At 40.0% G+C, this 15,567-nt stretch overlaps 1 annotated feature.

Annotated features, from left to right (window-relative positions):
* Nucleotides 4,673–5,297: an enhancer, noted in NCBI's record as "NANOG-H3K27ac hESC enhancer chr15:47425847-47426471 (GRCh37/hg19 assembly coordinates)". NCBI's record gives its function as "activates a minimal SCP1, AML or CMV promoter by ChIP-STARR-seq in naive H9 embryonic stem cells {active_cell/tissue: H9 hESC(naive)}" and the evidence as "EXISTENCE:reporter gene assay evidence [ECO:0000049][PMID:30033119]".

The following is a 15,567-nucleotide window of genomic DNA, read 5'->3' on the forward strand; positions in this document are numbered from 1 at the left end:
GTAGTGCTGTGGTTCTTGCAGACTCATAGAGGTACCACCTTTGTTGTACTGAACAAGATCCAGGAAACTCTCTGGATTACCAGGCAGAGATACTTGTTCTCTTCCTTTACTTTCTCCCAAACACACAGAGTGTCTGTCTCTGTTCTGAGCCACCTAAAGCTGGAAGTGAAGTGACACAAGTACCCTTGTGGACTCTACCACTATGACTTCACTGGGTCAGATCTAAAGTCAGCACAGCACTGAGTCTCATTCAAAGCCCGCTGTAACCACTCCCTCGTTACTGCCTATGTTTGCTCAAGGCCTTGGGGCTTTACAATCAGCAGATGGCAAAGCCAGCCAGGCCTGTGTTCTTCTCTTCAGAGCAGTGAGGTCCAGAAATGCTGTACAGGAGTCAGAAACTGAAGTGAAAAACCTTAGAAGTTTACCCCGTGTTCTACTGTGTTGCAGCTGAGCTGGCACTCAAACCACAAGACACAGTCCTTCCCACTCTTCTCTCCCCTTTCCAAAGGCATAGGAGCCTCACCCCATAACCATCACCATCCCAAGCCATCAACAATGTTCCCTTAAAGCCCAAGGTCTCTTAAGTCAGTTTGTTATGAATGCTACCTGGCCTGGGACTCACCCTTCAGGGCAGTGGGTTCCCCTCTGGCCCAGGGCAGGCCCACAAATGCCATCCAAGAGTCAACTCCTAGAATCGTGGACCCCAAAAGCCTATCTGGTGCTCCATCCCTGTGGCCATGCTGGTACCTAATGTGCAAGACAAAGTCCCTTTTTCCTCTTCTTTTCTCAAGCAGAAGAAGTTTTTCCCTATAGCCACCACAACTGGTTATGTGCCGAGTCCCACCTGAAGTCACAAGTCTCAGAGGCTCACTAAGACCCTTGATGTAGTACCTGGGTATTGCTGCTGGTTATTCTAGGCCCAAGGGCTCTTCAGTTAGCAGGTGATTCATGCAGCCAGGACTGGTTCCTTTCCTTCAAGGCAGCAGGTTCCTTTAGGGCCCAGAATGTATCTAGACAGTCATCGTGGAGCTAGGGCCTGGAATGGGGGCCTCATGACTCTGACTGGTGCCCTATCCTGCTGTGGCTGTGTTGGTATCCTAGATGAAAGACAGAGTCTTCGCACTTTTCCCTCTGCTCTCCTCAAGTGGAAGGAAGGGGTCTCTTTTGGAGCCGACAGCTGTCCAGCCTGGGGGTAGGGAAGGTTCAAGCGATCCTCCCACCTCAGCCTCTTGAGTAGCTGGGACTATAGGCGCATGCCACCACATTCAGCTAATTTTTGTATTTTTAGTAGAGACGGGGTTTCACTGTGTTGGCCAGGCCAGTCTCAAACTGACCTCGTGATCCACCCGCTTTGGCCTCTCGAAGTGCTGGGATTACAGGCATGTGCCACCGCATCTGGCCTTTTTTCTTTCCTGTTAGATACTTGTTAATTTGGTGTCCTTCCTGGGGGTGGGTGGTGAGAATCAGTGGAATTTTCTATTCCACTATCCTGCTTGCACAAACTCTCCCATAATCAACACCAGGAGTTCTCAGCAGACTCCCTGAATTGAGGAACTGGAGTTTAGAGTCCAGGGAAAACAGGCCTATTATAGGAGTTCACAAGAAAATGTACAAAAGAGGAGACAATAGCTCAGAGAGAGAACTCAAGAAATTGGCAGAGTCCCCTCAAGTATTTAGCACAACACTGATTAGTGCATGTGTGTAAGAAAACCAGCCGACACTGGGGAAATAACCACCCAAAAGGATTAAAACAGTGCTCATACTAACACAGAGCAAGAAATAGGTCTGTTCCCACAAGCCAAACCAGAAAACTTGTAGATTCACAGAACATTGATTGGATATGGTGAGAGAAAATGTTAAAAAGCAATAGAATCTACCCAAAAGGAAACAGAGAAAAGAAGAAAGCACCTCTTCCCAATAATGAATGAAAAATCAAAGATCACTGGAACAACCTGAAGCAGCCTAACATGTGTATAACTGAAGTTCCCCATGGAAGAGAAGTAAAGGATAAAATATTTAACAAAATAACCAAAAATTTTCCACGTGTGATGAAAAGTCAAAGCAAAGAAGCTCAACAAACTCAAAAGGGACATTAAAAAAAATCAATGTACACGGCAATCAAATTGTTTAAAATCAGCGACTTTAGATTTTTAAATCTTAAAAGCAACCAAAGAAAAAAACACATGTAATGTACATAGTAACAAAGATCAGGATGACAACAAATTTCTTATCAGAAACAATGCAGGTAAGAAGATAGTGGAAAAAATTGTCAACCCACACACTGAATGAAAATATCTTTCAAAAATGAAGAGGAAATAAAGACTATTTAAAATATACAACAGGTGAAAGAATTAAATACCAGCAGAACTGCAGTACAAAAAAAGGGATGAAAATAAAGTATTTGAGGCGGAAAGAAAATGATATCACATGCAAATATGGGTTTTTGCAACACACAGCACCAAATAATGTAACTACATCATAAATATATTTTTCTTAATATTTAAATTTTTTAATGATAATTGACCATGAAATGAGAAAATTGTAAAAGTACTGTAGAGATGTTTATAGCATATGTATAGGAAAAATACGTTACAATGCTAGAATAAATGTTGGGTAGGAAGAAATGAAAGTAGATTATAGGATGTTTCTAATACTATAGGTGAAGTGGTATAATATAACTTGAGATAGACTATAGTAGATTAAAAATTTATATTCTGGCCCTCTCCCTCTCCCTCCCCCTCCCCTCCCCCTCCCCCTGTCCCTCTCCCTCTCCGTCTCCCTCTCTCTCCACGGTCTCCTTCCACGGTCTCCCTCTGATGCCGAGCCAAAGCTGGACGGTACTGCTGCCATCTCGGCTCACTGCAACCTCCCTGCCTGATTCTCCTGCCTCAGCCTGCCGAGTGCCTGCGATTGCAGGTGCGCGCCGCCACGCCTGACTGGTTTTCGTTTTTTTTTTGGTGGAGACGGGGTTTTGCTGTGTTGGCCGGGCTGGTCTCAGCTCCTGACCGCGAGTGATCCGCCAGCCTCGGCCTCCCGAGGTGCTGGGATTGCAGACGGAGTCTCGTTCACTCAGTGCTCAATGGTGCCCAGGCTGGAGTGCAGTGGCGTGATCTCGGCTCGCTACAACCTCCACCTCCCAGCCGCCTGCCTTGGCCCCCCAAAGTGCCGAGATTGCAGCCTCTGCCCGGCCGCCACCCTGTCTGGGAAGTGAGGAGCGTCTCTGCCTGGCCCCCCATCGTCTGGGATATGAGGAGCCTCTCTGCCTGGCTGCCCAGTCTGGAAAGTGAGGAGCGTCTCTGCCCGGCCGCCATCCCATCTAGGAAGTGAGAAGCGCCTCTTCCCCGCCGCCATCCCATCTAGGAAGCGAGGAGCGCCTCTTCCCCGCCGCCCATCGTCTGAGATGTGGGGAGCGCCTCTGCCCCGCCGCCCTGTCTGGGATGTGAGGAGCACCTCTGCTGGGCCGCAACCCTGTCTGGGATGTGAGGAGCGCCTCTGCCCGGCCGCCCCGTCTGAGAAGTGAGGAAACCCTCTGCCTGGCAACCGCCCCGTCTGAGAAGTGAGGAGCCCCTCTGCCTGGCAACCGCCCCGTCTGAGAAGTGAGGAGCGTCTCCGCCCGGCAGCCGCCCCGTCCGGGAGGGAGGTGGGGGGGTCAGCCCCCCGCCCGGCCAGCCGCCCCGTCCGGGAGGTGAGGGGCTCCTCTGCCCGGCCGCCCCTACTGGGAAGTGAGGAGCCCCTCTGCCAGGCCAGCCGCCCCGTCCGGGAGGGGGGAGGGGGGGTCAGCCCCCTGCCCGGCCAGCCGCCCCGTCCGGGAGGGAGGTGGGGGGGTCAGCCCCCCGCCCGGCCGGCCGCCCCGTCCGGGAGGTGAGGGGCGCCTCTGCCCGGCCGCCCCTACCGGGAAGTGAGGACCCCTCTGCCCGGCCAGCCACCCCGTCCGGGAGGGAGGTGGGGGGTCAGCCCCCCGCCCGGCCAGCCGCCCAGTCAGGGGGGGAGGTGGGGGGTCAGCCCCCCGCCCGTCCAGCCGCCCAGTCCGGGAGGGAGGTAAGGGGTCAGCCCCCCGCCCGGCCAGGCCGCCCGTCCGGGATGGAGGTGGGGGGTCAGCCCCCCGCCCGGCCAGCCGCCCAGTCCGGGAGGGAGGTGGGGTCAGCCCCCCGCCCGGCCAGCCGCCCCGTCCGGGAGGGAGGTGGGGGGATCAGCCCCCCGCCTGGCCAGCCGCCCCGTCCGGGAGGTGAGGGGCGCCTCTGCCCGGCCGCCCCTACTGGGAAGTGAGGAGCCCCTCTGCCCGGCCAGCCGCCCCGTCCGGGAGGGAGGCGCGGGGGGTGGGTCGGCCAGCCGCCCTGTCCGGGAGGGAGGTGGGGGGGTCAGCCCCCCGCCCGGCCGGCCGCCCCGTCGGGGAGGTGAGGGGCGCCTCTGCCCGGCCGCCCCTACTGGGAAGTGAGGAGCCCCTCTGCCTGGCGAGCCGCCCCGTCCGGGAGGGTGGTGGGGGGGTCAGCCCCCCGCCCGGCCAGCCGCCCTATCCAGGAGGTGAGGGGCGCCTCTGCCCGGCCGCCCCTACTGGGAAGTGAGGAGCCCCTCTGCCTGGCCAGCCGCCCCGTCCGGGAGTGTGGTGGGGGGGTCAGCCCCCCGCCCGGCCAGCCGCCCCATCCGGGAGGTGAGGGGCGCTTCTGCCCGGCCGCCCCTACTGGGAAGTGAGGAGCCCCTCTGCCCGGCCACAACCCCGTCTGGGAGGTGTGCCCAGCGGCTCATTGGGGATGGGCCATGATGACAATGGCGGTTTTGTGGAATAGAAAGGCGGGAAGGGTGGGGAAAAAATTGAGAAATCGGATGGTTGCCGGGTCTGTGTGGATAGAAGTAGACATGGGAGACTTTTCATTTTGTTCTGTACTAAGAAAAATTCTTCTGCCTTGGGATCCTGTTGATCTGTGACCTTATCCCCAACCCTGTGCTCTCTGAAACATGTGCTGTGTCCACTCAGGGTTAAATGGATTAAGGGCGGTGCAAGATGTGCTTTGTTAAACAGATGCTTGAAGGCAGCATGCTCGTTAAGAGTCATCACCACTCCCTAATCTTAAGTACCCAGGGACACAAACACTTCGGAAGGCCGCAGGGTCCTCTGCCTAGGAAAACCAGAGACCTTTGTTCACTTGTTTATCTGCTGACCTTCCCTCCACTATTGTCCTATGACCCTGCCAAATCCCCCTCTGGGAGAAACACCCAAGAATGATCAATAAAAAAAAAAAAAAAAAAAAAAAAAAAAGAACGAAACTCCATCTCAAAAAAAAAAAAAAAAAAAAAAATCTCCCAAAGAAATACCAATAAACAAGAAAATAGTCAAATGTCAAAAAAAAAAAAAAAAAAATTTATATTCTGAAGCCTACAGAAACCATTAAGAGAACAAAATGAAGAGTTATTACTACTAATAAGACAAAAAAAGATGAAATAGGACTATAAGGTACTCAGTAATTCTAAATAAAGGAGGCAACAAAGGAGAGATGGGAGAAATGGAAAAGAAATAGCAAGACGATAAATCTAACCTGACCATACCAATCATTGTGTTGCATGTGAGTGGTCTGCATACCCTAATTAAAAGGCATAAATTAGCAGACTGGGTAGAAAGATAAGACTTAATTATGTGCTGGCTACAATGTAAACTCACTTATATGTAAAGGCCACTAAGGCTAACGTAAAAGGATGGAAAGAGTCCTACTATGTTACACTTACCTATAGAAATTTGGAAAGGCTATATTATATCAGAGAAAGTATATTTAAGAGCAAAAAATTCTAGCAGGGGTAAAAATGCCACTTAATAATGATACAGAGGTCAATTCATCAACAGAAAATTATAGTTCGAGCATTTATGCACCTAATATCAGGGATTCAAAATACATGAAATAAAGACTGAGAGAATAGGAATGTGAATAGTCACCAAAAGTGGAAAACAAACAGGCACTAGCACTTAGAAAAGTCACAGTTAGATTTATTCTTAGCCAAGTTTGAGGACTTAAGCCCAGGAACACAGATTCAGTATAGACTGAGACTATGTCCCAAAGTAGGCTGCATGAGGCACTGTATATATACATTTTCTAACAGGGCACAGTAAGTTTTTTTAAACTTTAATTTGGTTCTGGATATTTAATAATATATTAATAGCCATTATATGATCTGCTCCATGTTTTCCCCTAGAAAGTAAATTTGAAAACTTGGTATAGATATCAATATATAAAACTCTAGTAACGCTATCAGATTTGGTATAGATATCAATATATGAAACCCTAGTAACTCTATCTTATTCTAAGGTCTATCTTTTCTAAATATATTCCCATAGCAAAGTAACCACATAATCACACATTTACAACTAAACACTCATGTAAGTTAAAGGGGTATTTTTCCCCTGGAAGTCATAATGATATATTGCATTAGGCAATTACAGATTTGAAGAACGGATAGTGCCCCATTCAGAGTGGTTACTTAGGACATTATAATGGGAGTGTCACATTTATCATGGCATATAGGAGACACGATGCTTAAATACAATGGAAAGGCCATTAATGTAGAAAGGTTTTAAAACTGTCATCAGATCCATTAGAGTTGATACCAGTATTTTACATAAAAATTGCCTGCTGTGAGGATAAAGGTATCTGAGATCAGATCATTTGAAGAAAATCAAATAAGATACTTGATTGCTAGATGACATGGCTGTTAAAAGAACAGACACAAATATATATGAATAGAAGCTTAATGCATTGAAGACAGAAATGTCAAGAGAAAAACTTCCTTAAAAGTAGGCTGATTCTTTGGTTAGAAGCCAAAATAAAATGGAGATTCTCTTTTCCAGAATAGTCTTGGGGATAATACTTTTTTGTCTATAATAAAAGAATATTCATCAACATATTCATACACTATGGGCTCAGTCAAGTAATCCAATCAAGTACATCATCAAAGTGATCTCTGGTGTCTTCTTTCTTAAATCTTAACGTGGAAAAAAATGCCACTAAAAAGTTGTTTAAACTTTTAGTATCTCCGTGCTTCAAAATCAATATTAGGTTTTTCTTTCTATATTCTGACATTGACTAAGGTGTGTACTTGGATAAAGACCCAATATAAACAGATTAGTGCACCGTGCTCTTCAATTTTTAGTAATGAGGAGGTTATCAGAAGGACTTCTGTCTAATACAAAAGCACACACAACTAGTCTCAGTCTGAAAGTCATCAGCTTTTTGAAGTTCTGAAATAAGTCTTATCTTCGGGGTTATATTCAGTGTTAGTGGAATTGTTAGGCAACTACTTTTCTTATGCTTACAAAATAATTGACATTTTATAAGATGGCAACTGAAAGAAGAAGAAAAGTTCTGCCTAATGGGTTAACATGATAGGATTTTAATGCATTTATGGCAGGACTGTGATCCAATCTGAGTAGTTCTTGAGTCATCCTCCCACCTACTTGACATTTTATTCAGACATCCTCTGCGTTTCGCATTACTAACCAAAATGAAGGCAAAATCCTATGAGGAGCTCAAGGATCCTCACTTAAAGAGCTAGAATCTAAATGCCCAACACATGAAAATGAAAATATAATGAAATTGGAAAGGAGTGTGCCAAGAAAGCATTCCTGCCTAGAAAAGCAATGTAGCTGGGTTTTAACAAGGTCTAATAATGGTCCAAGTTATGCCTTCTTGTCCCTGTGCCTTCCACTCAATTAAGAATGCTGGCAGTACACAGGGTGGCTCACAAGTGCTCCCCTCAATTTGCGGTAACAAAGTGCTGGCACCCCCTGTGCCCTTCACCAATCCGGTGGTCATTTATGGTATATGTGTAGATTTACACTTAATCACACTTGTCTGTATTTAACCAACAGAGTAATCATATGAAGATATTTCTCAGAGGCATTCAAGCCACTTAGCATATCAAAATATTCATCACTTGAGGGAAAAGATCCTATGTCATTCTTTCTTTTTTCTGCTTTACTGCATTTTCAGAGTATTTCAAATGAGCTGCATTTATTCTAAAAGAGGAAAAGTTAAAGGAAACTTTAAAATAGGGTGCATCCCAAATCAGAGTAAACTCCTTTTAGATTAATAAAGACATAAAACAAGTAAAGTCGCTCATCAAAGAGAAATTTCTAAACAGACGTCATACGTCTTTTCTAAGACTATCTGTGTGCATCCTGACGCAAAATAGGAAGAGGAATGACCTACCGTCTGACTAATTGCTACAGTCTTCCAAAAATATCTCCAGTTTAGGTCATTGTTTCCTAATTTATTATTTTATGGAAATCAAATCTTTTACTTCATATTCCTTTGAAAGAAGGAGGAAACCTAGATTTCAGTTTGTAACAGTTTTTGCTGCAGACTGTTTTGCTTTTGTGGTCATTCTTGGGTACAGTCTCATGAGCCAGCTGGTATTAGTATGAGATAGTGCACACTAATGAGACGGCAGAATCCTCTTGATAGGTTTAGCCTGTGATAACCTTCGTCTTAATTCTGTTTTGTGGTCTGGAAACTATTTTGAACATATGCTACTTTGGGAATTTTACTCTCTCCAAACCATTTTCAATTCGGCATTTTATATTAGAAAATTGCTATGGGTCATTTATTAATAAATCTTCTTAGGATTACACAATTCTTAGGCTCATGTGGTCATTAATGGTACCAAATAAATCATGATCCATCCTTAGTTCGATTATGATGGTGAAATAAGATGTAACTTTTGTTCTATTTTAAAGTTAAGTTCATAATAGGAATAGTTTGATTTTGCACACACAGATTGCGTGTGTGTGTGTGTGTATTTGTGTGTTGTGGAATAATGGGTAACATAATTATATCCATTTATTTTGTTTTAACTATCTTTATTCTCTTACTATTATACTTTAATGCCCATTTAAGCTATCATTTCTAGCTAGTCAGTTGGTATTAAAATCTCAAATGATGCATACTTCAATTAGGAGTGAAGATTCCTTTGATTTGTTCATTAAAAATACTTTTAAAAAGGTAACAAAAATACAAACTTCCTGTCTTTTACATTTTGGTAAATTTTTCATTAGCTTGTAGCCATTTGCATTTCTATTCTTCTGCCAAAGTTGAAAATACTTCTATTGAAAAAAAAAAAAAAGAAGGAAAACACCTGTTTTGGGTCTAATTATGAATTGCAGAGAACTATCATTCCTAATTACTAAATAGCTACAGAATTCCCATTTAAGTCAAATCAACTACACTTGAAAATAAACCTAGAATTTAAATGTTATCATCATTTATAATTTATTCTACTTCTGCACAGAAAAAGAAGGCTCAATTCAAAAGAAAGCCTTGGATAGATGTGTGCTTTGTAAATCTTGCTTGATGGTTTTAACACAGATGACACCAAATTTTGAAGAATTGAATGAGAAGCAGCTTTTTTTTTCTTAAAGCACATTTTTCAAATTAATCTTAACTTATTCTTGATAGTTTCTTCACCTCCCACCCAAGAAAAGACAACCTGCAATAATTCTAAAAATATTTTTATATTACCATTTAAATCTTCTAAAAACACCAATATGAAGCCATATTTAAGAAAATTTTGCACATAAAATAACTACTTTTAATTCAAGAGAATAAGTATAATTAGATCTCAAAGGCTGAAACAGATAACATCTACTACTCATACATTAGTAGAATCAATGACCCAAAGAAATCCAATGCTAATTTCTCAGGCAAAATTACTGAGAGTATGACTGTTAGACCTCAAATGCAGTTATAATTCTCTTAGGAAAGACCAAATTCTCCCAGCATCAATCTTTAATTTGTAGACATAGTTCAGTTTCCTCCTGGATACTACCAATCAGTACCCCCAATGTAGGGAGCATTTATGTTGATTTTAAGTCATTTTAGGCATTAATTCATGCCATATATCATAATGCATATATTATAATTACATATTTCTTTAAAAAGGCATTTAAATATGAGAACAATATAGCTGCTAGAAGAAATTCTAAGGGAAGAAACCAGTAGCCACTTTTCTTAGCTCTGTCTTGTTAGCCAAGCCTTCTTCTGTAGGTTATTTTAGACATGTTTGTTTATGGCTACTTCAAATATGGTCACAAATAACCTTGCTGATTCTCTTTCTCTAAAAATCACATGATATAGCACATATTCTGACAAAAGCACACATTGCAGTATTGATTTACAGAGGAATATGACAACAGTCCAGGTTAGGTCGATGGCAAGGTTTAGCATTCTCTTAGGATTCCATGTGCAAATGATGATTTACAATCAGTTGAGTGCATCTTAAAATATATATGCATCAACAAAAAAAACATAAATTGCTGTGTTGTGATTTTTTTTCACTTTACACATCCTTTGTTTTTCTTCTTTTGGAGTTTTCATGTGAGGTATTATTGGTTTTAAGCCCACAAAGAAAGATAATGGAATCTGTAAGCCTGCTTTGGGAATCAGGATAATTCTAGAAACCCTCACTAATCCTTGGTAGAGATAAAACAATACCACCTCTGTATTTTTCTCACATACAGCTCTGGGAAGGAAGGAGCTCAGTATATATACTCTGTTTCCAACTCTTTCTCTAATAGTAAATAAATTATTCAAACACAGACTTTGGAATTGGGAGAACTATATTTGAGTTCTGGCATTTTCACTCACTAAGTGTGTGACTTTGGGCAAGTCACTTACATCTTTACATCTCCGTGATATCCCCCACAAGAATGGGGATAAAAATTGTATCAAACTCCTAGTGTACATAAGATAATTTGGTGAAACAGTACATGTAAAGAAATTAACAGCTGATCCAATGTTCAATAAATGTTACTGTTACCATTATTTTTGAAAGTCATAATTTTTTGTCAGCTTTATTACAATAAAATTCACCCATGAATTTTTATCATATATACAGTAGCCTAACCACGGCCACAGTCATGAAATTGAACATATCCATCATCCTAAAATGTTATCACAGTCATAGACTTTTAAGACCTGAATAAAATTTAGTGGCATCTAGTCTAATTTTTGTTTTATATGTAAGAAAACTAAGGTTTTTTTGAGGTGCAGGAAATTGCTCATACTCACTTATCTCAGCAGTATCAAAGTTCATTAAATATTTTGTTTCTTTCCTCTGGACTCAGTTCTCTGCTGCTTCATCACACTGGCTCTTTTGTGGTCAAAAGTTTTCTGGGTGTGGTAGAACAGGCTACTATGCAGAGTAGAGATTTCACGGAAGGATAGGAATGAGAGAGAGATTTCCAAAGAAATAGAGCAACATGTGGGCAATGCATGAGTGACCAATAAAATGCTGCCTGCTTCCAAATTTGAGTGCATGAAAGATTATTCACTCTTTCAGTCAAGACGCATTCACAAAATTTTCTTTATCACTGGAATTCAGGAATTTCAATAGTGTATCCAAAGTACAATGTAGAAAAGGGAAAATAATATGCACATTAAACAAATAAACTATAAAATTTGGGAGTGAGGTGGGTGTGTGACAGAATAAGAAGATTGTATTAGAGAAACAAGAAGGACTTCACCCAACATGGACACAAAACAAAAATCATATGGACATTTAAAAAAATATATATCAAACTCTGTTTTTCTTGGGAGGATCTGATGATTTTTTGTTGGAGACTTTAGCTTATTTTACACCAAGTTATGACAGCCTTGTATCCTAGGTCTGATTGGGCTTTTTAAGCATTATAGAGTTTGTCATTCAGAATCACAGAATTTCAGCAATTCTGGTTCTTTTGAGATAAAAGGGCCTCACACTTCCTGCCATCTTTCTCTTATCAAATGCCTGGGTAAGAGAAATGATACCTACATACAGTAGATAAAAATAGTGGCTTTCTAACATTTTATCATTAGATACTGTAAAACAATTTTGAAAACTATGAATCATCTTGTACATTTGAAGTTGACATCTAAAATTTTCCATCATTTTAACTTTAGTATCAAAGAATACATAAAAGCTGTTTTTTAAATTAACACTTTAAAATAATACTGGTAGATCACTATTTGAAACATTTTCAATAAAATGTGATTGTTACCATGATTTCATACCCACCATTATTCATTAAAGGAAAATATGAACAAGGTATTTTTCACAAATCTAATGTCATTCCATTTTGATCTTGATGTTTTTTTATTCCCCCTCAACATATAATCTTATTCTTGTAAAATATATTTTATGTTATGAAAATATTTTCTAGATTACACTATACTACTTAATGGCAGCAAATACACACACATATAAATAAACATCAATTTTTAAATCATTTTCTATAGGCATTTATGTTGACCAACGGAAAATCCATTTATTACAAATTTCGATAAGTAATCATTAAGGACAATAAGTAAAATGGAATTAAAATGTATTTTTTAATGAAATAAATTAAGCTCTTGTTTCATTTCAGTTTGTGTACCCTCCTTGAAAATAAAACAGGGTTCACATATGTTCTCACTCCTGTATGGAAGCTAAAATAGTTGATCTCATATAAAACAGTAGTGTATTGGTTACTAGAGGCTGGGAAAGTGGGTAGGAAAATAGAGGTTGGTTAATGGATACAAAATTTCAGCTAGGTAGAATAAATAAGTTCCAGGGTTCTATAGCATTGTAGGGTGACAATAGTTAAAAATAATTTATTGCATGTTTTCAAAAAGCTAAAAGAGAGGCTTTTGAATGTTCCCAACACAAAGAAATAAATGTTTGAGGTGTTGGGTATGCTAATAACCTAGTTTTGATCATTACACATTGTGCACATGTATTAAAATATCACTCTATATCCCACAAATAAAAAAATTACATGTCAATTGAAAAAATTTAAAAACTAATTAATTTTTAAAATGAAACAGGATTCAGATCAATTATAGACATATGCATCAAGATAAATTGTCATAAGTAAATAGATTGGAATTAAGAGTTTTGTTACAGCAGTGAAACTCAATTCATTGAACTCCTTTCAAATTGTAAGACAAAAATTGATTTTCACTGAAATTTATCTATAATAATCCAATTGCTAGAGTAGTTCTTCATTCGATTTTATTGAGAAGAAAGAATTAGAACCCAGATGATTGTCCAAATAACTTATTTCCCAGTCATTGCTATCATTTAAATTATCCCTTTGATTGGACCTTCACCCACAGGTAAGGTATTATGTATGATTTCCTTTGTGTGAAATCTATGGCTTTCTTTTGTAAAGTGAGAAAAAAACTATGAGAGGGAAATTAGTTAAAGAGAATAAATGGGAAGCCTCTAGCATAGTTGACCACTGGAAAATTGCCATGCAAATCAATTCTAGGAAACTACACATTTGGGGGTTTAAGATTTGGAAATGGATTTTCTTAAAACTATTCCTGCCAGGGTGCCTAGTGGAAAGTGTAAATGGATCCTCAGGGGAAGGGATATTCCAGTATAAAGAACACTGAAGTAAGAAACCTAAGACTAATTTTACCTATGAAATTTTTCTTATGTTGCTCTTTAGGCCTCTACTAAGTTACATCATCAGAAAACTACATGCATCCTCAGTGAGAAACATTCCCACTGAGATATAAGGTAGTCTTGATATTTTTGAAGGCTGAAAGAGTGAAAAAAACATATGCCATTAGCTAGAAATAAGATTAACTCAAGACTGCACTTGTGGGCCAATAGAAAAAAATTATTTCAAGATAACTTTAGGGCTTCCAGTTTCTGGCCTGACACATAAGGACCTTAGAAGTTGCTGCTCCCTCATAATAACAAGTAAAAAGTTGAGGAAAAAAACTGAAAAAAGAAGTTAGATCTATAAGAGAAGTGAAATCACAAGGAAAAGCTCCCAAAATTAAAGAGATGGGCAAACGGATACATAGAATCACAATTTAACTGGGGCAGAAATCTTCTTAAGGAACAATACCTGAGTAAGAAAACCTGAACTTTAATTGACGAATTTTTGGAGGCTCAGAGTGGACAATTCTGAAAGTTAAAAATTTGAGAGGGAGTAATGTCAGACCTCAGCAGGATAGTAGAATAGGAGGTCCCAGGCTTCAATAACCCCTGAAGAAATGCACAGACACCAAAACAAGGACACAAGGATTACAATGAGAAACTAAGAAAACTCCAAGACTGGGCCCTAAAGAAACAGAAATCTATGAAATTACAAGCAAATAATTTGAATCATCCTTGTAAAGAAATCCAATTAACTATAAGAATATACAGATTTTAAAAATAAACATTTGGAAAACAGTACACAAAGAAAATTAAAAGTTTGACCAAGACATATTAATAATAAAAAATGAAAAATCTAGGCATGAAGAACACAAGGCTAAACTGAAAAAAAAAATGCAATAGAAATATTTAATGGAAGGCTTAATAATCTGAAAAAAATAAGTGAGCTTGAAGACACAACATATGAAAGTATAGTCAGAGGAGCACAAAGAAAAAATAATAAGAAAGAATGAAGAAAGCCTACAGGAATTATGGGACATCATAAGGAGACCTAACTTCACATAATAGAAATTCTAGAAGGAAAAGAAAGAGAAAAAGGATCAGATAAAATATTTGAAGAAATTAATGACTTCCCTAATCTGGGGAAAGATGTCAACATCCCAGTACAGAAAGTACAGAGGCCCTCAAACAAATTTCAACTGTAAGAAATTTTACCAAGACATATAATAATCAAACTATCAAAAATCAAAGGCAAAGACAAAATTCTGAGAACAGCAATAGGTAAGAAACACATCACATACCAAAAGTCCCAATACAACTATCCATGGTTTGCTCAACAGAAACCCTGCAGGCCACGAGACAGTTGGAGTATATATCAAAGCGCTGAAGGAAAAATAATTAACAGCCAAGAATATTTTACACAGCAAATCTGTTAATCATAAATGAGGGAGAAATAAAACCTTTCCCAGACACACAAAGACTAAGGGAATTTATTACCACCAGGCTTGCCTTATAGAAATTGTTAAAGAAAGTGCTTTTAGCAGAAGAAAATAAGACTAATAACAAAACTTATGAAAGACAAAACTTAATGGCATAAGACAGAGCTATATTAAGATTACTCTAGGTCTATAACAGTGCTGTGTAAAGCAATTTTATCTATAGTGTGAAGGTTAAAATACAAAACTATTACCAACAACTATTGCTAAAATAAAGTGTCAAGGGATACGTATAATAAAATTATGTCAATTCTGACATCAAAATGTGCATGGGAGGAAAAAATCATACAGTGATATGTAAAGTTAAGCTGTTATCAGCTTGAAAAATACTATTATAAGTATGAGATGTTTTAATGTAAGCCTCATGATAATCACAAAGCAAAAATCTATGCTAGAAGCATGAAACAGAATTAGGAAGAGTTCAAAGCACACCATGACAGAAAACCATCAAACCACAAAGGAAGACAGCAAAAGAGGAAGAAAGAAATAAAGTATTTACAAATAAAACAGAAGACGGTTAACAAAATGGCAGTAGACAGACTTTACCTATCAAATAATTACCTTGACTACAAATGGATTAAATTATCTAACAAAATGATAGAGTGATTGCATGGATAAAGAAATCAAGACCCAACTATATGCTGCCTATAAGAACCTTAGCTCACTTTTAAGGACAAAAATA

The sequence above is a fragment of the Homo sapiens genome, chromosome 15, assembly GCF_000001405.40.
Source record: "Homo sapiens chromosome 15, GRCh38.p14 Primary Assembly".
Taxonomy (NCBI): domain Eukaryota; kingdom Metazoa; phylum Chordata; class Mammalia; order Primates; family Hominidae; genus Homo; species Homo sapiens.